A 23,219-nucleotide genomic window follows, 5' to 3' on the forward strand; every position below is an offset into this window, starting at 1 on the left:
TAGCCCCCTATACCTGTGAATATGACCTTATTTCGAAATTGGGTCTTTGCAGATGTAATCAAATAAAGATGAGGTCATGCTGAATTAGGGGGAGCCCTAATCCAATATGCTGGTGCCCTTATGAGAAGAGGAGAAAAGCCACACAGAGACGCAGAGAAAAAAATGCCATGTGACAATGTAGACAAAGACTGGAGTGATGCATCTATGAGTCAAGGAATGTCAAGGATTTTGGGCAACAGCAGAAGCCAAGAGAAAGGCATAGATTAGATTCTTTCCTAGAGCTTTCAGAAAAAGTGCAGCCCCAGTGACACCTTGATTTCAGACTTCTAACTTCCAGGCATGTGAGAGAATAAATTTCTGTTGAAAGACACCCAGTTTGTGCCACTTGGTTACATAGATGCTATATGCTAATCTGTTCTTTTTGCTTTCTAATATTAAAAAGCATAGATACTATGGATAGAATATATGTACAGTTTTAAAATTATAAAGCAAATATCCTTCTGATCACCCTCCAGGTCAATAAACAAGAATGATATTTCTGAATCCTTGGAAGGTTCTCTTATATACCCCTTTCTTATCATAGCCTACTTCTTTCCCCCACTGCCTGATAATCCTTTAGCAGCTTTTCTTTATAGTTATATCACCTATGCAATTATACTATAACCAATATGGTTTAATTTTCCCGCTGATAAATCTTTAAAGGAGAAGATATTTGGATGAACCAAGCTGATGAAAATGCATTTTAGAGCTTTGCTTAGGCAAATTCACACGTTACTTACTGATAAATATAAATTGAAACTACACTCTGTAAAATTATATTTTGAATAAGCATATTCATTCAGTTGATTCACTCATTGAAGACTTATTATTAACTGGGGACATACTGGGCAAACTTTATTTTTCAGGCATTTTCCAGATAAGAGATTAAAAGTAATGTCAATAATTCCACTTTAACAAAATATATAATTTAAAGCAAAATTAAATTATCTGAAAATCATACTTACTTGTTACTTATGCACACACACAAGAGTTTGTGTGATTTAATAAGATTGTATTATAGAACAATTGATTAATATGATGAATTTTACCAATTTATAGATTAACTTCATTTATTCATATAAACATAAGAGCATAGTTTTAGAGGTGCTACACATTTTAATTTTCATTAAGTTATTAGATTATCTAGATTTGCTTAGTTACTGAATTTGCCCAGTCTATGCATATTAATTCTTCTTGGAATTTCCATGTATTTACTGTTAATAGAAAATATACAAGTCTTTTTTTGATTTTATAGACTGCTTAATATAACACATGTTTAACTATTACAAAGTGTTAGATATAAGGAGGTAAAGGGATTCAAATGAGTTTTTTGTTTGGTAGTAAAATGCTTGTGAATAGGAGTCTGTCAGATGTTTTAGAAGACACTGGAACACAAGTGTCTCCTGCTTTTCAAAAAGCTTATGGTTCCCAGAAGAAAAGAATGGGTTGGCTAATGACTATAATATAATATAATATGATGCATTCTGTAGTCCAGGAAAACTTGAAGTGGATCTAGCTCAAATATGAAAGTGATGAGACCAGGTGCAGTGGCTCATGCCTGTAATCCCAGCACTTTGGGAGGCCAAGGCCAGTGGATTGCTTGAGCTCACAGGTTCGAGACATGCCTGGGCAATATAGCAAAATCCTGCCTCTATAAAAAATACAAAAATTAGCCAGGCATGATGGTGCACACCTGTAGTCCCAGCTACTCAGGAGGCTAAGGTGGGAGGATTGTTTGTGCCCAGGAGGAGGAAGCTGCAGTGAGCTGAGATTGCTCCACTGCATTACAGCCAGGTGATGGAGTGAGACCCCATCTCAATTAAAAAAAAAAAAAAGGAAAAAGTAAAAAGAAAGTGATGAATTCTACCTGGAGAGAAACAGATTTGTTCCCATGGGACATGGCATATATAAAGCCATTGTTGAGTATTGAAGGGCGGGAGTTTGCAGACAGAGAATCCCAAGGTCAAATAAGGGCAAAGTGTTTGGCCTGTATCAAATTTGTTTTTAATGTCAGGAAATAAATCTCAATAATATTTATCTCTAGATATGTATTATATTACGTTTGTGCCAGCTTTTAATTAATCTTGGAAAGTTATCAACTTCATATACTTATTGATAGATTATAATTTAGTTAACAAAACATGTCACTGGCGAATATGATTCAGTTGACATGCTCACTATTACACGCATTTATTTCCAGATTCAAAGTTCCTGATACTGCACATTATCAACTGCAAATTATTTCTTTAAAAAATTTATGGCTGGGACCACTGGCTCATGCCTGTATTTCCAGCACTTTGGGAGTCCGAGATGGGCAGATTACCTGAGGTCAGGTAATCTCTACTAAAAATCCAAAAATTAGCGGGCACGGTGGCACATGCCTATTATCCCAGCTACTCGGGAGGCTGAGGCAGGAGAATTGATTGAGCTCAGGAGGCGGAGGTTGCAGTGAGCCGAGATCGTGACACTGCACTCCAGCCTGGCTGACAGAGCAAGACTCTGTCTCAAAAAAAAAAAAAAAAAAAAAAAATTTCATGAGACATTTTACTACTTTTAAAGGATTACATAGTTCAGTTTCTAATATAAGAATTAAATTGAATGCTTCCTTATAATTTAGGATAGGCCAATATATGCTAGAAATTTTGTTCACTGTAATTATCAAAGATGTTTATTCTTTTTTAAGTTTTGTTTTTAATTGACAAATAATAATTTGTATATTTATGGGATTCAGTGTGATATTTTGAAACATTTATACATTGTAGAACGATCAAGTCAGGCTAGAATATCCACATCTTAAATATTTATCATTTCTTTTTGTGGTAAGAACAGCTAAAATCCTCTTTCTTAAAATTTTCAGCTATTTTGAAATGCATTAATAATTATAGTCACCATGCTGTACAATGAAACACCAGCTCATACTTCTCCTAACTGAAACTTTGTACTCGCTAACCAACGTCTCCCTTTCACCCATTCACCCCTCCCATAAAACTAGCCAGTGAAAACCATTATTCTACTCTCTACTTCTATGTGTTTGACTTTCTCCCTTGATTTTTTTTTTTTTTCTGGCTTTTTTCTTTTGGTATTGTGGTAATTTTGCTGTGGGTTGTAAAAATGTCCCTAGATAGCAGTTTCTTGGAACTTTATGAGTTTACTCAGTTTTCATGTTAATTTTTCAACTTGAAATTTCCACACAACATTAATAGATTCAAATTACACTAATACATTCAAATTTTACAGCTAGGATGGCACAGGCTCAGAGGTTGAATTTTTCCAATTAGACTCAATCCACACAGTACCCATCTCCTCCTCCTCTTGCCTGACACTGGATTGCCTAAATGAATAGCTATTTTCAATATCATTACACTCAGATGCAGCCTTTCAGATTTCTTTTTATGCATGGTCTTACATCTTGCTTTCTATCGTGCACAAGTCCAAGTTTACTCTGTTCCCATGTGAGTGGTCAACTTCCTTGGGCCAATATCTAAGTCCCTTTGGCCTGCTGAAGGATTAGTTAGTGTATTCTGTATTCTGGCCTTGACTCCTTTCTTTCTTCATTTGCAGAGACTTCTGTTATTTAATTAAAGCTTGACAACATTGTCAATCTTTTGGTATGCTTTATAATTTCTGCATTTTTGTTGCTGAGGACTAAGAAGGGGGAAAAAGAGGGCCTATTTGTTTAAATTGCTAAATTACTAGAACTAGAATTAGATTTTTTTTGGATAAGAGTGTAAGACAATTTGGAGATCTGAGATAAGTACCAAAGGATGATGGCAGAAGGATGGGGAAGGAGTGGCGAGTTGGAGATCAAGGAACCTTGATTGTGCACAGACGTGTAAGAGCCAGTAAATGAAGAGGTGCTGCTGGAAAAGGGAAACAGAAGATTCAGGAGACTGGTGTCACAAAAACTGCAGGGGCAGGAGATTTCACGAAAGTTTTAGGATATTTAACATGTAGCATCCCTATCTGGTAAAGTTTAGCATCACAGGGAAAAAGCTCATTGGCTTTGGCACTTAGTCATTTCCAGTCTTCTTCCTCTCAGTTGGTGGCAACCCCATCAGGTTGCTCAGTCAAAAACCTTGGTGCCATCCTTGACTTACCAACCTCTCTCACAAGATCTATATCTAATTCATCAGGAAATTCTGTTTTCTTGGCCTTCAAGATATGTCTGCACTTTGACTACTCACCACTACTAATTTAAAATTGCAAACTGAATATCTCCCCTTCCCACTCTCAACAATTTCAATATTGGTTACCCAGCTCTCTTATTGTTCCATAGCATTTTTCATCTCCAGAATCGTGGATGGCATCCTCATTTATTACAGTGATTGCTTACTGCCTGTCTTCTCTCACTAGACTACTAGTCCCATGAGGGCAGGGTTCTCTGCTGTGCTTTAAGGGCTTAGAGCACCTGTACCTGGCACGTAGTAGTGACTCAATAATTGTTACATAAATGAATTGTAATCTTGTTGTATATTTAACTAAAATTTCATTTGAGCAAATTTTAGTTAAATATATAACAGACTCCAGTTAGAGCTATATAGTTGGAGCTGCATGTTTTAGGCATGTAAGCCTTATTCAATTCTACTTTGAATATAATTAATATTTTAGTAAAAATTTAATCTCTTATCCTATTATAGGAATTCTGTGCTCAAGAATTTTTGCAACCATCAAATCCTAGAAATTAGAGTCCAAACATTACTATCAGATACCATTTTTACCTTATAAACTAATTAAAGATTTTAGCCAAACTTCTAAATAATGAGATTTAAAACATTCATAAGGAATTAATATTCTAGCATTTCTTCTTCACAAAGTACTTACCCAGTGAACAAAGAAATTTCAACTTACCAAAACAACAAAATACTGCATATATTTGAGGATTCTTCCAACTGGAACTAAACAGTTGGAGCTGTATGTTTTAGGCATGTAAGCCTTATTCAATTCTACTTTGAATATAGTTAATATTTTAGTAAAAATTTAATCTCTTATTCTGTTATAGGAATTCTGTGCTCAAGAATTTTTGCATCCATCAAATCCTAGAAATTAGAGTCCGCACATTACTACCAGGTACCATTTTTACCTTATACCCTAATTAAAGATTTTAGCCGAACTTCTAAATAATGAGATTTAAAATATTCATAAGGAATTAATAATCTAGCATTTGTTCTTCACAAAGTACTTACTCAGTGAACAAAGAATTTTAAATTTACCGAAAAAACAAAAGACTTCATATATTTGAGGATTCTCAGTATGTCCTTCAGGTGGGAGCTAATCATAATTCCAAAACAAACAAACACAAATGCCATAGTCCCAAGTGTTGAAATTCCAAAAGATCAAAATACTGAAAATATAATTCTAAAAAAGTTTAAAAAATTGTATTTACACTTTTAAAAGGAGATTTATTTGAGAAACATAAAAACACAACAAAACACTTCCTAGGCCATTTTACATAAGAAAATAGGCAATAATAACATGCATATTTTTGCAAGCATTAACACTTTGGCATACTAATGACAGTTGCATGGGTATAACAGTTATAAGCAGTCAAGTTGTATTCATATAAATAGGTCAAAAGTGAAATATATACTATAGTTGGTAATTACGTGTGTCTAGCTTTATAACTTTGGTCATATGAAACATAATGACAGACAACATAAATCTTGTCTTGGCGAGACTGTTGGAAAACCATGATGAGATACTGTCACAAATGTAATCACCCAAAGAGTCAAGATCTCAAGAAATTGTATCTTTCACAAATGCAGATCTACAAAAAGGACATTTCTTCATTTAGTGAGGAAATTTCAACATTTCTATATAAATGTGCAGTGCTTATACATAAAGTCAACATTGTGATAATGCACTTCAATGGAATCAAATTTGCAGCATAAAACAAATTAGAACTCTCTAAAAGTCTCCACACAATTTAGATCTCTAATATGGGATATGATGTGAAGATGAAATACATAGCATAACAAATTGGCGCTATGTGTGAAGAGGTAGAAGTTATATGTGATTGGATAATTTGGCTTGGAGGACTTCTTGTATTTTTCATCTGTGTTTTTACTTCTGTGATCTGTATTTGGACAGTGGTTGTGGTCTACAAATTTTGTAAGTATATGCAGTCCATCTGAAAGTCTGATTATTGCTTGGCCTTTGCAATTAAGGGATTTTCAGCTTTTGCAGCACCAATAATAATTAGCTTTTAAACTTTTATCTTTCACTATTAAGAAGCCTCATACACTTAACTTATCACAGCCTTTTTGTGAGGGAACAATTTCACAGATCTCTTCCACTGTGTTGTAAGGAATACAGTAGCAGGAATGATACTTGGCTTCCTCAACGCCAAGTGTGTATTAGTAACGGATCTTCAGAGAGACTCAATCAATAGGATATGTATATAGATACACAAGAGGGGATTTTTAGAAGAATTGGCTAACATCTTTATGGTGGCTGAGAAGTCATAGCACAGGTCGTCTACAAGTTGGAGACCCTGAGATGCTGGTAGTGTGGCTCAGTCTAAGTCTAGTAACCTCAGAACCCAGGAAGCTGGTGTAAGTTTCAATCTGAGGTCAAAAGCTTCAGGACCCAAGAAACAGCTGGTGGAGGTCCTGGAGTCCAAAAGTCAGCAAACCTAGAATTCTGATGTCCAAGGCGGCAGAATAAAAGTCTTTTCAGTTTGGGAGGCTGAGGTGGGTGGATCACCTGAGGTCAGAAGTTTGAGACCAGCCTAGCCAACATGGCAAAACCCCATCTCTACTAAAAATACAAAAATTAGCCAGGTGTGGGGACACGTGCCTGTAGTCCCAGCTACTTGGGAGGCTGAGGCAGGAGAATCACTTGAACCTGGGAGGCAGAGGTTGCAGTGAGCTGAGATCACGCCACTGCACTCCAGCCTGTGGGTGACACAGTTGGACTCTGTCTCAAAAATAATAATAATAATAATAATAATAATAGTAAAAAGTATTTTCAGTTATCAGAGAGAGACCAATTTACCCTCAGCATTTGTTCTCTCCAGGTCCCTGTCTGATTGAATAATGCCTACCAACTTTGAGGGCAGGTCTTCCCTGCCTAGTCCACTCAGATTCACACCCTAATCTCTTCTGGAAATACCTTCACAGACACATGCAAAATAATGCTTTACCAGGTTTCTAGGCATTCTTTAATCCAGTCAACTTGACACCTAAAATTAAGTCCACAGGTTGGCGCACTGTCAATTTAGCACTCATATATAACCCCTTAAACCAAGCTTGTCCAACCTATGGCCCATGGGCCACATGAGGCCCAGGATGGCTTTGAATGTAGCCCAATGCAAATTGATAAGCTTTCTTAAAACATTATGAGAATTTTTGTGATTTTTAAAAAAATCTCATCAGCTGTCGTTAGTGTTAGTGTATTTTATATGTGGCCCAAGGCAGTTCTTCTTCTTTTAATGTGGCCCAGGGAAGCCAAAAGATTGGACACCCTTGCCTTAAACCATACTTAATTTCCAAATAAAGACAATAACAAGTTAATAGCTCTACCTAACATAATGCAACTATTCTGTGACTGTGAATTTCAAGATTTTAGACATTGGGGATTTTAGACTTTAGAAATTTTGATCTTTTGAGATTTCAACATTTGGGATTATGGCATTTAGGATTGTGTCTTTTGGGATTATAATCCAAACCCCCTTTGGGCAAACTCATTTAACACACATTCTCATAAGTCTGTATATATTTAAATAAGGTTGTGACATGAGTATACAACTTTTCGTTGAATAAAGATACAAACTGATTCCCTTATATCAGCAAGTCATATAGATTCTCTTTGTCAGAAGATATTTACAATTTTAATTTTTTGCTTTATAAATTCTAGTAAGAGCTTCTGGCCTTTCTTGGCTGTGAGTTAAAAAACTGACTTCATAATTCCTTCCTTCCTTCTTTTCATTCTTCCATATGTCTTTTTTCTTTATTTTGCTCTTCTGCCCCCCACCATCTTCAGTCCACTCAATAGCCAGTTCCTACTCTAAAAACAGCAAATGGAATTACAATAAACTAATATACTTAACTTGTCTTGCAGAGTCCACTGCGTCTTTTGGTTCATCATTATTTTGTGCGTAGAGATTTTTGTTTTTTCACCGAATATAATTGCGTTGACTTCCTACCAAGTGGTATAATTCTCAATTCTTTCTCACACATCTCTTTCTTACACATTTAGAAGTTGAGCCCACACCCATTCTCTAATCATCACAGCTGACGTTCATTTGCTGTTCTCTCGTTATTTCAATCATTTGCTTCTTGGGTTTTAGAGTCTGTTCATTTTTTTTTTTTTTTTTTTTTTTGCTTGACCAAAAGAGACTAGAAGGCTGTGAGTTGTGGCTCTTCTTACGAATTGCATGTGCTTAGTTTACTGTTTGTATTAACATCTCACCTGGGAGGCAGAGACACATGAAAACAAGATTCAGAGCTCTAAGGACATTACTGATGATGCAAGCTGATACAGACAGGAAAATCAACAGAGCCCAGCAACATCAAAGCAGCACTTGCTCTTTGGTCATTTAGGAATTGAATCAAGAATACCTAATGTTAAATGACGAGTTAATGGGTGCAGCACACCAACATGGCACATGTATACATATGTAACAAACATGCACATTGTGCACATGTACCCTAAAACTTAAAGTATAATTTAAAAAAAAAGAAAAGAAAACCTTAAAAAAAAAAACAATGGGGTCTCATTTTCTTTTTCGTTACAAGTTTTACGAAAAAGTTATATGAACCAATATTGATAAATATTGAAAATACAGATTGATTTTCAAAGTTTGACAGGAAAATACAGAATCTTTTTCTGGCTAAAAGCAAACCAAGTGACTCAGTTTGAAAATGGCCTGAAGAGAGAGTGCTGTCTTTCTCCTTCTCCTTTTCCTTCTTCCTCCTTCTTCTCCCTCTCTTTTTCTTTTGCCTCCATTCACTTTTCTTTGTCTTCCATATCTTTTAATCTTTTGCGTTAAAAGAAACTATTTAACTGAATGAGGTGAACTATGTTCTATTTGGATAATTTGGCATTTTGTACTTTTTATTTTATTTTCTTCATGAAAATTTTAAAATGATTTTAGCCTGCAAATAAAGATTGCATTGTCCCATTTTCTTGACATATAGTAAGGGTCAACAAAATAAGTGTAACTATTAAGTTTTCATTGGCTTTCAATATAATTTGATTACAATGATAAACAGAGGTGCTAAAAGCTATAGTTAACATAGTAGCTTCTATAATTCAGTTTTATTTTTATGAGAAATAAAAAGCAAATAGAACCGCAGATCTTTGTGTGCACACAGTAGAGAAAGAGCACATTTAAAAAATTTTTCGAAGTATAAATACAGAAAACACTTATGAAACTTAATATAATTACATTATAATTTCCAAAATTATGCTATTCCTCCAACTATGGTGATTATGTTGTGGGAAACTGATAATGGCTACCAAATTCTCTTGTTTAATAAAACCAGAATAATGTTAATAATGATTTTTTAAAATCATTAATTGTATCCACAATTCAAAATAGTAATCTTTATATCAAATAACAACTAAAAAGCGTAGTCTAAGGATGTATTTTATGAGACAGAAGAGATCAGATTTTTCTATTCTCTATACCTTTTCTTCATATCTTATTTTGCTGATAGTGAAAAAGAAGCAGAGTGGGAAACTAAAATTGAAAAAATCTGATTTTTGGAAAGTCCTATTTTGCAAATCAAATTAATTAACATAGGTGACTTCAGATTATATCAGAATTGCCATAGCTCCCAATAAGTTACTTTTTAAACTAGAAAAAAGCCACTCGTTGTAAGAAATAATAGTAATAAGCTTATGTGTTTTAGATCCTTTTTTGAACTTGCTCTCCCCTTTGTTATACAAGAATTGCACACAAAAGAGGGAGAAAAAAGTAACAAGACAGCATTGCCAGTCCTATACTTTGTCCATGTGCTAATATCTGCTGATGAATTCGAAGAAAAAGGTAGATTTGACTGTTAACATGAAACTCTGATTGAAACCAAGCCAGAAACAAAAACCAAGTTATGACATCTGTATTATTTTCATTATCAATATCTGTGTAAATCAGTTAAGTACTTTAGTCCTTGAGCCATTTATAATGTAGTAGTCTGTATTATTTATCTTTATTTTGTTGCTATAATAAATACTTCTCTTATCATATTTAGATATTGAAAATAATAAATCTTAAGTGGTGCGTATAAGCTGTATATGACTGAAGTAAAGACAAGCAAATCTCAGAAACAGAAAATACCTTTTAGGGAGGGGATGGGGTTAAAAGGTACACAAAATATGGTGTGTTTTAATTTTTTTTCTCTTCTTATATCTTCTTGCTTTAATGTAGTTTTATGTTTATTTTTTTGTGACTTTATTTTAAAAAAACAGCTGATGTGTTTTTTATTTTCCAACTTAATTGCTCCTATAGGCTTTGCTGCAGAAAAATAAACTTAAAAAGCAAAACTTCAGGCTTGTTCTAATTTCTTTTTATTCTCCCTCTGTGTAAATCCAAGTCACAGCCCAGAAAATAGTACAAAATGATTTTCTTTTTCTTCTGAAACTCATTACGGTACATTCACAAAATGGTATATTTAATGTTCCATTGTTATTTCCACAATATAATTTGTTAATCAAAGATTATGTTGGTTATATTTTTGTAAAATAATCTTTAATTGTTTTGCTTGAAAAACTCCAACTTAGATTATTCATTTGAAAATGATCATCATGACTAAGAATAAAGTACTTCTAGGCTGCTTGGAGATGTGTACAGCATGTGACTGTATGTGTAAGTTTTTGTAACTTTCTACACTTCTTTAAAATCACCTCCTTGGTACAAAAAAAAATATATATATATATGTGAGAAAACTAACCTGCTGTTCAGGTGCTGTTCTTTAATCAACAGAAATAGTCTGGTAAAAAACTTGCTAAGTTTATATAAATATAATAATACTTTTGTCATTTTAAGCATGAGTAATTTGTGTAACAAAAAACATAATTTAGCCAATCATGCAATTAATCTTGTATTGAAATCTCTGTGCTGTGGATGCAAAGGCCAAGGATTCTGCCCTCAAGGAGCTCACAGTCTGGCAGAGGTCTCAAAAATACACATAACTGGCTGGGTGTGGGGTCTCAGGCCTGTAATCCCAGAACTTTGGGAGGCCAAAGTGGGCGGATCACGAGGTCAGGAGATGGAGACCATCCGGGCCAACATGGTGAAACCCCATCTCTACTAAAAATGCAAAAATTAGCCAGTTGTGGTGGCAGCGCCTGTAATCCCAGCTACTCGGGAGGCTGAGGCAGGAGAATCGCTTGAACCCGGGAGGTGGAGGTTGCAGGGGGCTAAGATGACGCCATTGCACTCAAGCCTGGTGACAGAGTGAGACTCCCTCTCAAAATAAATAAATAAATAAATAAATAAATAAATAAATATCCACATAACTAATTGCAAAACAACTAAATAAGTGGTATTAATGACAGGAAAATGAGCAGTTCTGGAGTGATTGTGCTTCTTCTTTGGGTGTCAAGTGTCAGAAAATTGCATAAAGATTGTAACATTTCAGTATTCATATGAAGAGAGACAAGGAATTGTGTACCCAGAAAGGGAGTAGAAGGACACGACCAGTCACAAAATGCAGAGAACACATGGGATTTACCGTTAATCTCCTGACTCTTAAACTTGCATGTCTCTCACTTGCATGGACTCCTTCCGAGGCTCTATAGCTGTTTGCATTTCTCATTTTGTATTTTTTAAAAGCACCCCCTTCCAAATTGTGCAAGCGTCATTTTCCACAAAAGTCAGATTCTCCCTTAGGATATGCATGGTGTGGAAGAGAGAAAAGGCATATTCACACAACCACAGTAGCCTCTTTTGGCTCTGCGGTAGAAGATGAAGCTGAATGCTGACATCTCGAACCGAATTTTAGCAAACAGGGATCACATTCTTCATTGTCTCCAAAGCAAATGTTGAAATTGATTTCCTCAATTTTTGTTGTTCAGTGTTGTCTGCAGAGGAGGCAGCATGGCAGGGTTCATAAAGCTAAGAGAAAGAAGTTCAGACCATTTCTAATTATTTTTTTTTAAATTTTTTTGTAAGGGAGCAGCTGAATATGAAATAGTACAGTAAGATATATTTTTATTTTATCATCTCACCAACACCACTCATTAATTAATTCATTCTTCTAATATTTATTGAATGCTTCTTATATCTTAACTCTCCTTATTTTTCTATTGTGCCTAGAGCATTTCAGCCTTTTCTATTTTATTGATGTTTATCAGCATTTGCAGAAGATGTAGGTTAGGAAAAAAACATATTTAATTATTAAGAGAAACCATGCCCTGCTTGATTTTGCTTCTTTTTCTTGAATGACAATATTTTATTCTCTCCACACTATATTTATTTTCTCAACCAAGTCCTATGATTACTTTCAGACTGAACTCAAATGACATCCTTAATGAAAGTTCTTTAACTCTTTCCCAAGAGAATCTTTATTCCATGTTTTAATAATTTTAGCTCTTTAGTTATTGTTTGAGACCCTTGTCTATGTGTCTAGGGATAATTGTCCAGCTATTTTATATGTGCATATCTTGTCTTCTCTCCCTTTAAAAGGTGGAACCACTGTCTATCTGTATCTTTCTTGTCTGGCACAATGCCTAAAGTCTTTTAAATGATAATTAAGGAGTAGAAGGATTTACCTCTTAAACACTGAATAAAACCTAGGACTATAGGAAGGTTCGAGATAACCAAGTGTGAAAACTTCAGGTAATATTTTATTTTTTCCTAAATAAGAATATTGAGGAGGTGGCACAGTTGAACAAATGGATGAGTTAAGTGACATGAAAAAGCTGTGGGGAGTTGAATCAGATGTTATGTAAATAACTGAATTTCTTATGCCTCAATTTTTCTATCTTTATTGTAGTCTCTATCACAAGGCTATTAGCTTCAAGAATCTTGCTGGAAAATTCTAACAATATTTAGTTTTTAAGTTGAATTTTTAGGACTGACTCACTACTGTGATTTTTTTAAACCTTCTTGTCTACCTCCTTTATTCTACCCTAAATCACCAAATAGACGGGTTATCCCAGAGTTCACTGACCTTTTATTCACCCTCTAAGAGAGTAAAATTGTCCAGGAGTCCAGTAAACTATATTTCTGAATTACTTATAGAAACAATTTCATCTCAACCATGATGGGCAAGATGCTCAAATTTTAAAATGAATTTTCTTTGCTCCTATGTGTTTTGGATTGAGGAGGCATTAGTAAATCCTTGTCCTTCAGTGTCCTTATCCTCATGACAATGCTAGAACTTTCTAGTCCTTTATCTTGGAAAGAAAAACTATTTTTAATGCCAAAACAATAGAAAATTTGTCTTTAAATGATTCAGGGGAAAATCCAGAGAAAGAGTTGTCCATTTATAGGAAATCAGAAGAAATAGTGCCTATCAAACTATATTTCATTCATAAACTATTTAAAGAATCTAATTTTTGTTTATAGTAAGGCCAAGTTTCACTGAAAATTCCTTCAGCTTTTGCTTTCTCTGCCTCTGAGTATGCTTTTCATTGAGAGTGTGCTCACAGAAAACAGGAGAGAGAGAGAGAGTGATTTTAAAAGATGAATACTTACAGGTAGCTTGGATGTGAGAAGATAGGGTATTTATGAAGGAAAAATTGATAATCTGATAATCTGTTAATGTACTGCTTTGATGCAACTCACAATCCCATTATATTCTATTCTATTCTACCATGTATGAATCCATCACACACAGTCTTACCCCAGTCTCAAGGTTGGCTGCAGGACAACTGCTTTGAACTGATGTCACACAGGAGATCAGCTATTTCTCACTGCGGTTCCCCATGGACACCTTGCAGGGAGCTTGTTTATTACTCCACTGTGGGGCAGATTGGCTTATCATTACAAAATCAGCCTAAAATAGTGCCCAGATTCTGCTTTATGTCATCCAATAGTAGAAATTTCCACACTTCCAGGTGGGATATCTGAAGAATGGAATCAATATCTAGATACAGGAATAGACATTAAAATGGATTTTGGCTTAGATCATAACATAATGAGGTAGCTTTCCTTCCAAGGTTTGCAATTGAATGCAGTTATTATGAGTATGGTGAGAAGAAGGAAAAAAAATGTGTCTGGGCTTTTTTGCTGGTTTTTGTTCTTGAAAAATTGAAAATACTGATTTACAATTTTCTTCCTTTTTTTTTTTTTTTTTGTAAAAGCAAAAAGGCCTTTGTAGTTGAAGTACTGGTGACCTTTCACAGGAATTATGCAGGCAGCCATGGAGGGCTGTTCTAATGGTGATGCTGTGGTACAATCAGTTTTACTGAAAAAGAGCCCTCTGGGCTGCAGGGTAACTAGCTTAATAGCTTCTCAAGAGGACAAATCTGATACAAGACTTTAAAATGCACTTTAGGTATTTAGTATTAAATGGGCAGATAGGGGGAACTCTAGAGGATGCACAGAGGTGGATGAAGACATACTGCAAATACAAGCTGTTACAACCTGCTGCCCTCTCACCAGCACAGAGACTGTCCTGCTTTACAGCCAGTTTGGGTCTATGACAACAGGCAATTTTTTTTCTCAATGCTTCTAAGTCCAGGGCGCTCTGTGTAAAGCTAGTTGCTTCAGAAATACATCTGCTTTCTCTTTGTTTTACTTTTTAAAAAAATTGTTCTCACCCTTTTTTCACTTCCCTTGGTTAAAATATCCTTGAACATCACCAGTAGAATATCAAAGGATGACTCTACCTAGAGCTTAGAGAGTTTGTTCAGCCATTATCTCCATTGAAAGGAGCCAGGAGTTAATGCTCTGAATGGTGCCTGTTGAAATGCAGTTGTAACTGTGATTCTGGTATAAAATAATGTTTAACGACATCTCCAACCTTGGTGTAAATGTTGATTTGTGTAGGTGAATTTGGGAGGACATAATAACATTGCACTCAAGGACCCTGATCCTAGAAGCAAAATCACCTGGGTTCTGATGCCAGCTCTACCTCTCCGTTTTAGGTCCATTTAACTTCTTTAAGCCTTAGTGCCCTCACGTGGAACTGGGGACTCAAAATTACATCTACCTTATAGTGTTGCGATAATTAAATGAAATATTTTAAGTGGCTAGCACAGAGCCTGACACATAGTAAGTTCTCAATAGATGATTAACCAAAAATGTTTTCTATTTCTTAATTATTTTATTGGGCAACTTCACTATCATTGTTTGGAACTTAATTTTTTTCATTATTTTCCTTTATTATGAGAGAAGCATGCTTCATCATTTGGTATGAATTGACATTAATTAAAAGAAAAAACAAAAATGTTTGACTGATTTCTAGTATAGTGGAGGTAAAGTAGATGAAGATGCATGAGCCAGTAATTCATTCTAGAATCAATTTAGAAGCCGCCTGCTCTTGGACTGGAACATTCTAGAAGAAAGAGGATAGCTCAAAAGCCACAAGCCAAGTTTAACATTGGAGGACAGTTTCGGGGAAGGTGTGAAAGGCAGTCAGAGAAACAGAGACAGAGAAACAGAAAATTTTCATACATAAAGGGAGACATGAGGCCCAGTATTGGAAGTTCTATATTTCCTCCTGAAGCTGTGAGGAAGTATGATGAGAATTATTTATTCATTCAGCAAACATGTAGCAAGTGTTACTAAACATGTAGCAAGTGTTACTGTTGACTGTTTTCTGCTCTGTGCTAAATCTGAGATACAAGGGCAAGCAATGGTCCCTGCCCATCAGGAAGGCAGATTGTATAACTGTATTAATTATAGATTAGCATATTTCTAAGTAAATTTACGATTTTGTTGGAAGGAGTGAAGGAAGTACTGAGAGAATGATTCTATCACATCAGTAAGAATAACCAGAGCATTGTCAAAACTATTTTTAAAATGTAAATAATGATTTTTCATAACTACAAACACATTGCAGTATTACAATGATTTAAACAATTTGGAAAGGTTGTGAAAATAAGGATCAATAAAAAAGAAGAGATAGGAGGCAGGATTGTCAGAAAGTTGTGGCTTTGATATCTAAAGAGACCAGCATTGTGATATATTGTCAGTGAACAAGAGGTTCTAAAGCATCTGAGTGAAATTTTTAAAAAAATAGGCCTCTGTATTAAGAAATCTCACTCACTCTGATGTCAATCAGTGAGCATTTTTTAGAATTTAAGAGAAAGCTTTTGAATACATAGAGGTGGGTGCAGTTTTTTTCTTTAAATGTACCTATTGTAGCAAAAAACTTACGGAACATCTTATCCTAAATTGTCACTCATCAAGTTAAATAAGTTCCTCATAAACTTAATCAGGAAATTTTGGTTTTGCTTTTGACAAAATAAATTATTGTGTCCCTTTAAAATTAAATATGATAAGTAATATATTTTTTAATTTTTTTATTTCCATAGGTTTTTGGGGAACCGGTGTTACATGAGTAAGTACTTTAGTGGTGATTTGTGAGATTCTGGTGTACTCATAAGCTGAACAGTATACACTGAACCCCATTTGTAGCCTTTTATCCCTCACCCGCTTCTCACCCTTTCCCCTCGAGTCCCCAAAGTTCATTGTATCATTCTTATGGCTTTGCATCCTCATAGCTTAGCTCCTACTTATGCGTGAGAACATATGATGTTTGGTTTCCATTCCTGAGTTACTTCACTTACAATACTAGTCTCCAATCCCATCCAGGTTGCTGTGAATGCCGTTAATTCATTCCTTTTTGTGGCTGAGTAGTATTCCATCGTTTCTTTATCCTCTCGTTGATTGATGGGCATAAATATGATAAGTAATATTTTATGACAAAAAACATTGGCACATTATAGAATATACAATATATAAAGGACATGCTTGTGGGTGATGGCAGAGTCAAAAAGCATCATATATGGCCCTGTAGTCACACTCTGAGGAACGGAGGCAAGGAAAGGCACTTACAAGACTTAGGATACAAGTATATCTGCTTCAGGATACTGGTAGCCTCTCCATTTTGAACAGTGCAGTTATTAACTTAACTCCCACCTGGGTCTCTGACAGCTTTGTTTAAAATTATTCATCTCCTTTTTTCCTGTTTGACCTCATAAACCCTCATGTAGAAATTATGATGGGCAATTTCTAAGTGGTCTACCAGTTGGCCAATATTTCACCTTTCCCGGAGGAACTTAAAAACTCTTTAAATCTTTTTAACTCTTTACAATTCAACATGTTAAAATGCAAGACGTGAAAAATATTAGGAGTACATTTATACATTCAGCACCAATTCTTTGGAAAAAAATTAGTCCAAAACCCTCTTGCATTTCCAAATAGAGAGCTATTCTCCTCTATTCTCATTAAACCCCCAAACAGCTGCTAAAACCTAAAGACAGCTGCTGAGAATTAACAAGATAAGTCTTCCCTCCAAGTTTTACGCTGCTCTCTATGGAACGAGCCAAGGCCATTTATTCTGGATAATCATGCCGTTTTATCCTGACTCCACACCTGATCTGAAGAATGAGCTACAGGGACTAGAGAGCTCTATAGGGATTTCTAGTCTAATCTGATGCATAGTTTCGGATTTATGCCTCCCCTTTCTGAGAGTATTCAGAAAAGTGGGACTTTAAGTTGAGAAGAAAGGGGAGATAAAGCAGATGGCATAAAAGCTGCAGGATTTATGCAGTGTAGGATCATATATGGAAAGGCGAGGCAAATGTACCCAAAGTTTCAATTATTGCCATGTGAGTGTGGGAGAGAGGCTCAACTGTGAAGAGAGGATGGATTTAGCCTACTGATAGCACTGTGACTGCCACAGAGGGAGACAGAGCTTGATACTTTGGCCAGGATTGCTATTTAGGACCTCTCAGTAACAGAGCGCCTGATTTGCAGGGCTTTTCTATTTCCGATGCCTTGATAACTCTGGAGTCATCACAGCAGAATTTAGGAGGCAGAAGCCCCACAGTTTCAAATTTTGCCTATGAGTTCTAGCATGGTAGACTCCAAAATTTCCTGTCCCAAATACTGGTAATGTCCCAGACCCTGCTTCCTTATTTTCTTCAAAGGAGTGTTTGGCAATATCCTGAGGGCAGGCTGTGAGATAAAATGTACATTATATCAAAAACTTATTTTTAAAGACCAAGGAGACTTGATTAATGGTGAGAAATTTTTCAAGCCTTTCTCCCGCCAATCTCTCCACAGCATAGGTGATTATTACTAATTTGAAAATGTCAATGAACAATTTGCAGCAAAAAAAGTAAGAGAAACAGGTAAAACTAGAAAAAGATGGATTATTACATCACAATTTGGGTACTTAGGAAGCCAATTTTAATTTAAAAATTTTAAAATTTAATATGCATTAATATCAACTTTTTGGTGTATAGTTAATTAATTTCAACAAATAGATTTAAATAACCACTCCCACAATCAGAATATGGAATTAGAATCACCAACCTGATTCCTCCTATCACCACCCTGGTAGTCACTGATCTGCTCCCATTGCTATGGTTTTTCCTATTTCCAGAATGTCATATAAATTAGTTCATTTATTAAAGACTTTTGAAAATTGGATTTTAAACTTAACATAAAGTTTTCAAAATTCGTCCACGTTGTTGTGTATATCAATTCCCCATTCCTTTATATTGCGGAATATATTCCATTCTATTTTTGAACTATAGTTTTTTTACTCACCCATTGAAAGACATACAGTTATTTTCATGTTTGGGTGATTATAAACAGAGCTTCTATGAAACATTCACATACAGGTTTTTGCACACGCGGAAATTTTTGTTTTGCTAGTTAAATAGCTAGGAGTGGAATTGCTGGGTCATATGGCTAAGCATTCACTTAAATATAAAATATTGCCTGTTTTCCAGAGTAGCTGTACATTTTTGCATGTTCACCAGCAATGTATGAGATTTATAGTAGTTTTACATTCTTGCCATCACTTGGTATTGTAAGATTTCTTTAACTTTTAACCATTCTCATAAGTTCATAGTGGTATCTTATCATGGTTTTAATTTGTATTTCCCTAATGGTGAATAATATTGAGCATATTTTCATGTTCTTATTTGCCACTCATACATCTTCTTTGGTGAAGCTGTTCAAATCTTTGTCCCATTTTTTTATTGAGTAATTTTTTTCTTATTTTGTTGAATTTTGAGGGCTTTTAAAAAAATTCTGGATACAAGTTATCAGACTGGTGACTTGCAAATTTTCTCCCAGTCTATGGATTATCTTTTCATTCTCTTAACAGTAACTTTTATGGAGCAAAAGTTTGGGTATGTTTTAAATTCCCTATCTTTATTGACTTTATTTTCTATCCTATACCTGAATATAAATCTTAAAGAAGCATGCCAGAGACTTAGTGTGAGTGACTAGCTCAGTGAACTGCGCAATGGAAACCATACCTCTAGGAACAGGCACTCTTCATTCCTAGCTGCTGGAGAACTCATAGTCTTCAGAAGTCTGTTTGATTGGAAAATACCATTGCAAGACAGTGACCAATATTATATAAGACTTAAATACAAGATTTAAGAGAAACTTTTTTCCTTACTGAAATCTCAGGAGGCCAACACATTAATCTTGAAATTGCTGTCACTTACCGAGACTATTTTATAATGCAAAATTAATGTTTGTCAGTATCCTTTTAGGTTGCTCTGGAGATTAAATATAGGAGAAAAGAGCATTTTCTCAGGTCTGCACAGGCAAGGCCAAGTGGGAAAATTGAAGCAATTTTCTGAATAATGTAATAAACCCCTTCTTTTATTTAATTATTCAAATAAATCTTTATTTTTCCTTCCTTTCTCTGGCCATAGAGACTTCTTTGTCATCTAACTTACATTTGAAAAGTGACAGGCCTTTATATATCTAGTAAAGGCTTAAAACTTTTTAATATTTAAGGTTATCTGACCCTTAAAATAATTAGTAGAGATTCTAAAACTCCGATCTTCATAGCAGTGTTGAAGATAACTGAAAAAGCATAATCTCATGTTTTCACACATTTAATTCCATGCTCTAAAGAAACTACTACTTGCTTCTAATTTCCAGCTGCCAACATCTGCAATTAGAAACTAGCAAAACAATTACCCTAACAGCTGCTAGAAACATAGTTTACAACAAAATGTCAAATGTGTTTTTGAATGTTGAATTAAAAAACACTAATTTTTATTTCAGCTATCACCTAACCTTTCTCTCGATTAATTAATCATTCTGTTGAATAGTTTCCCAAAGAGAACACATTCCATTAGTATTCACCACATTTATTTTTAGTAAAGAGATAATGGAACTACAAGGAACATTCAACTGTAAACACAAGCATGAGTTACAAAGCCTGCTATCTAGATGACCTCTGTAGTCCCCTCTATCTCTCAGACCCTAGGATGATAATAAAAGGAAAGGCTTTCTCAGGTATATACAAAACAACAATGACAACAAAAACACATTCCTATCCCTTGTGGCCTTCAATGCTATTTACCAAAGTTACAAATGCTTTGTGTTCTCCTCAACTGCAAATATTGTTCAAAATGCATTATTTAAATTCAGTTGAGAATCATATTTGTCAAGGCAGCAGACTTTCCTAAAATACTCCTGAAGCAGTGTCATTTGATCATAGAGGTTAAAGTAGGTGTACCAGTTTGCCCACCAAATTGCAGGTGAGACACAATCACAATACTTTTCTGTTAGTTGTTGTGAAGAATGCAAATTAATGAAAAAAAAATCTTATGGTAAGTGATTTGCTATTACAGAAATTCTGTGTCTTAAAAAATGGTATCATGAAATGGGTATACACATTATATAACATAATTCATTCATTTTCTAAATTCATCCAACTGCTGTTTTCCACAAGAGATAATTATTATAATGGAAAACATGATCTAATTCTGTTTGTCTATTTTAAAGATAATTAGACTTTATTTAAAAATTCTCTGAACATATTTTCTTCAGTATTGTTTGGTACTTAAGCAGGCTGAATTCTATGGAGTCAGGGAAGATAAGATTATAAATTTATTCAAAGATGAACCTCAGTTTCTTCCACCAATAACCACACACATACCCATGCACACCTGGCCTGAGATATCAGTTTATCAGAAAGCAAAGTGGCCTCCAGAGATTTCTCCAGTATAGGAGAAATAAAACTTAACAACCTACTGGTTTAATATTTGTAAATTCTAAAATAAATATGACAATGAAATTCGTATATATTCTAAAGTTACAGAGTTGATTTTGTTTATTTCTTTGAGAGTCACTCTGTCACCCAGGCTATAGTGCAGTGGCACAATCATAGCTCACTGCAGTTTAAAATTTCTGGAATCAAGTGATCCTCCCACCTTAGCCTCCCCAGTAGCTAGGACTACAAACATGTGCCACCACACTCAGCAAATTTTTTATTTCTATATTTTTTTTTAGAGATAGGGTCTCATTATGTTGCCCAGCCTGGTCTCCAATTCCTGGCCTCAAGTTATTCCTCTGCTTTGGCCTCCCAAAGTGCTAGGATTATAGGCATGAACCACTGAGCCTCAGGGTTCATATGTTTTACATTGCTACATTTAGTATACAATTATTTTAAAACACAGAATTAGATATATAATTACTATAACTAACAGCAAGTATAGTTCATACAGGTCATTGTACTTTCTTCCGTAATATACCATCATTAGTATGACATAAAACATTTTTTGTGACTCTAATTGGTTTGTAAAAATAAAGCTTCTGTTGATTTTTACTGTATCTTAAAGTGTAAACTATAAAGAAATAAAATAATTGAAAGTCCAAATATACTACTACAGTAAACATGACCTTTAATAAAAAGTATCCTTCTGTATATATTCTCTACCCATCCAAATGCATGGCAATGTGAAGAGCTTGGAAAACAGTAGTTCAAAATAGAATGAAGAGCTTGGAAAACAGTTGTTCAAAATAGAATGAACAGAAAGATGCTATATGGTTAGCCTACTTTGGTTGAGCTTCCTCTATAATTATCCAACAAAACATATAAAGAAAAAGACTAAAAAACAAAAATAATATTAAAAATCTAGGAAAATTTAAGGAAGTGGCAGTGGTTGTCTGCAAAGAGGTTGCACAGAGGAAATTTTAGGATAAAGGAAACATTCTGTGTGGTCCTGGGGGGATGATACACTACTATACATATCAAAATTCCTAGAATTATACATAGAAAGTAAAGTTTAATGTATGCAACCTAAAAGAAAAATCCTAACAAGTAACTTTGGTAAATGAAATTTTTACTAGAAATTGTAAGACTGCAGAAAAAGAACTAGACATAAACACCGTACTCTAGTTGGTATTTTTTTTTTTGCACAGGCTTATGGGTTAACAATTCTAAAAGTGCTTTACATGTATACTGAGGTTGAACAAATATGTAAATGGCTTTTGGGTGTGGGGGCCAGGTTTCTCACTGTTAGAGAAGGAAGTCACTGATAAATAAGAAAAAAGGTCCATAATGAGCTCCACACTGCTGGAGTAAAATTGGACACATTGGTATAAACTAATGTTTAGCTTACTAAAGCTAAATATTGGATAAATATATCCAATATAAATATATCCAATTTATTGGATAAATATATCCAATAAATATATCCAAATATTGGATAAATATAGAAACAATTATAGATATACAGATTAGTATATTTTACCTAGCGCTATCTTCTGAGAGGTTCTAGAAACCATGACACCCACTAGCAATGAGCACACTGCACATTCAGATCTTTCTTGGTTTCTAAATATTGTTTTCTAATAAAAGCAACAGGTTTCTTGGAGAAATGGCTGATTCTGGGACCAGGACAGGAAAAATACAAGATGAGCCTGGAATATCTTTTAGTACCAGAAAGTAAAAAAAGTGATTAAAAAGCAAAAGGATGGGGGCATGTCAAAGAGACATAGGAAGCAACCTGATAGAGCGCTCAGTGGCCCGCAATGGAACAATTTGAACAACAAAGGGATATAGTATTAGATTGTAATCCAAAGTATATACATGAATCTATCCTGACATGGATAAATGACAGAATAAAGAAATAAATGAGGAAAAGAAACAACTGTTTCTTACAGAAGAATTTCAAATAACATATGTAGATACTCCCCAGTACAAGAAGTGAAGTTTAATTCCTTCTACCTGCTAGGGCATTCTAGGCTTTGTAGCTTATTTCCAAAGAATAGAGAAAAAAGCAGGAAAAGTGATAGG

The 23,219-nt window shown here is 34.8% G+C and overlaps 1 long non-coding RNA gene across 2 annotated transcripts in view, besides 1 other annotated feature; it reads left to right on the forward strand.

Moving 5' to 3' along the window:
• The window catches only part of LOC107986638 (uncharacterized), a 131,875-nt gene that overhangs the window by 47,851 nt on the left and 60,805 nt on the right, over positions 1-23,219 (forward strand). For both annotated transcript variants that reach the window (XR_002956366.2, XR_002956367.1), the window contains exons 3-4: positions 5,039-5,106; positions 16,468-16,493. This is a non-coding gene — a long non-coding RNA (uncharacterized LOC107986638). The remainder of the gene's footprint in view (positions 1-5,038; positions 5,107-16,467; positions 16,494-23,219) is intronic.
• Positions 8,370-8,664: a silencer, noted in NCBI's record as "tiled region #3090; K562 Repressive non-DNase unmatched - State 24:Quies". NCBI's record gives its function as "represses a minimal TATA promoter and a strong SV40 promoter by Sharpr-MPRA in K562 cells {active_cell/tissue: K562}" and the evidence as "EXISTENCE:reporter gene assay evidence [ECO:0000049][PMID:27701403]".

Source organism: Homo sapiens, chromosome 6 (genome assembly GCF_000001405.40).
Source record: "Homo sapiens chromosome 6, GRCh38.p14 Primary Assembly".
NCBI lineage: Eukaryota > Metazoa > Chordata > Mammalia > Primates > Hominidae > Homo > Homo sapiens.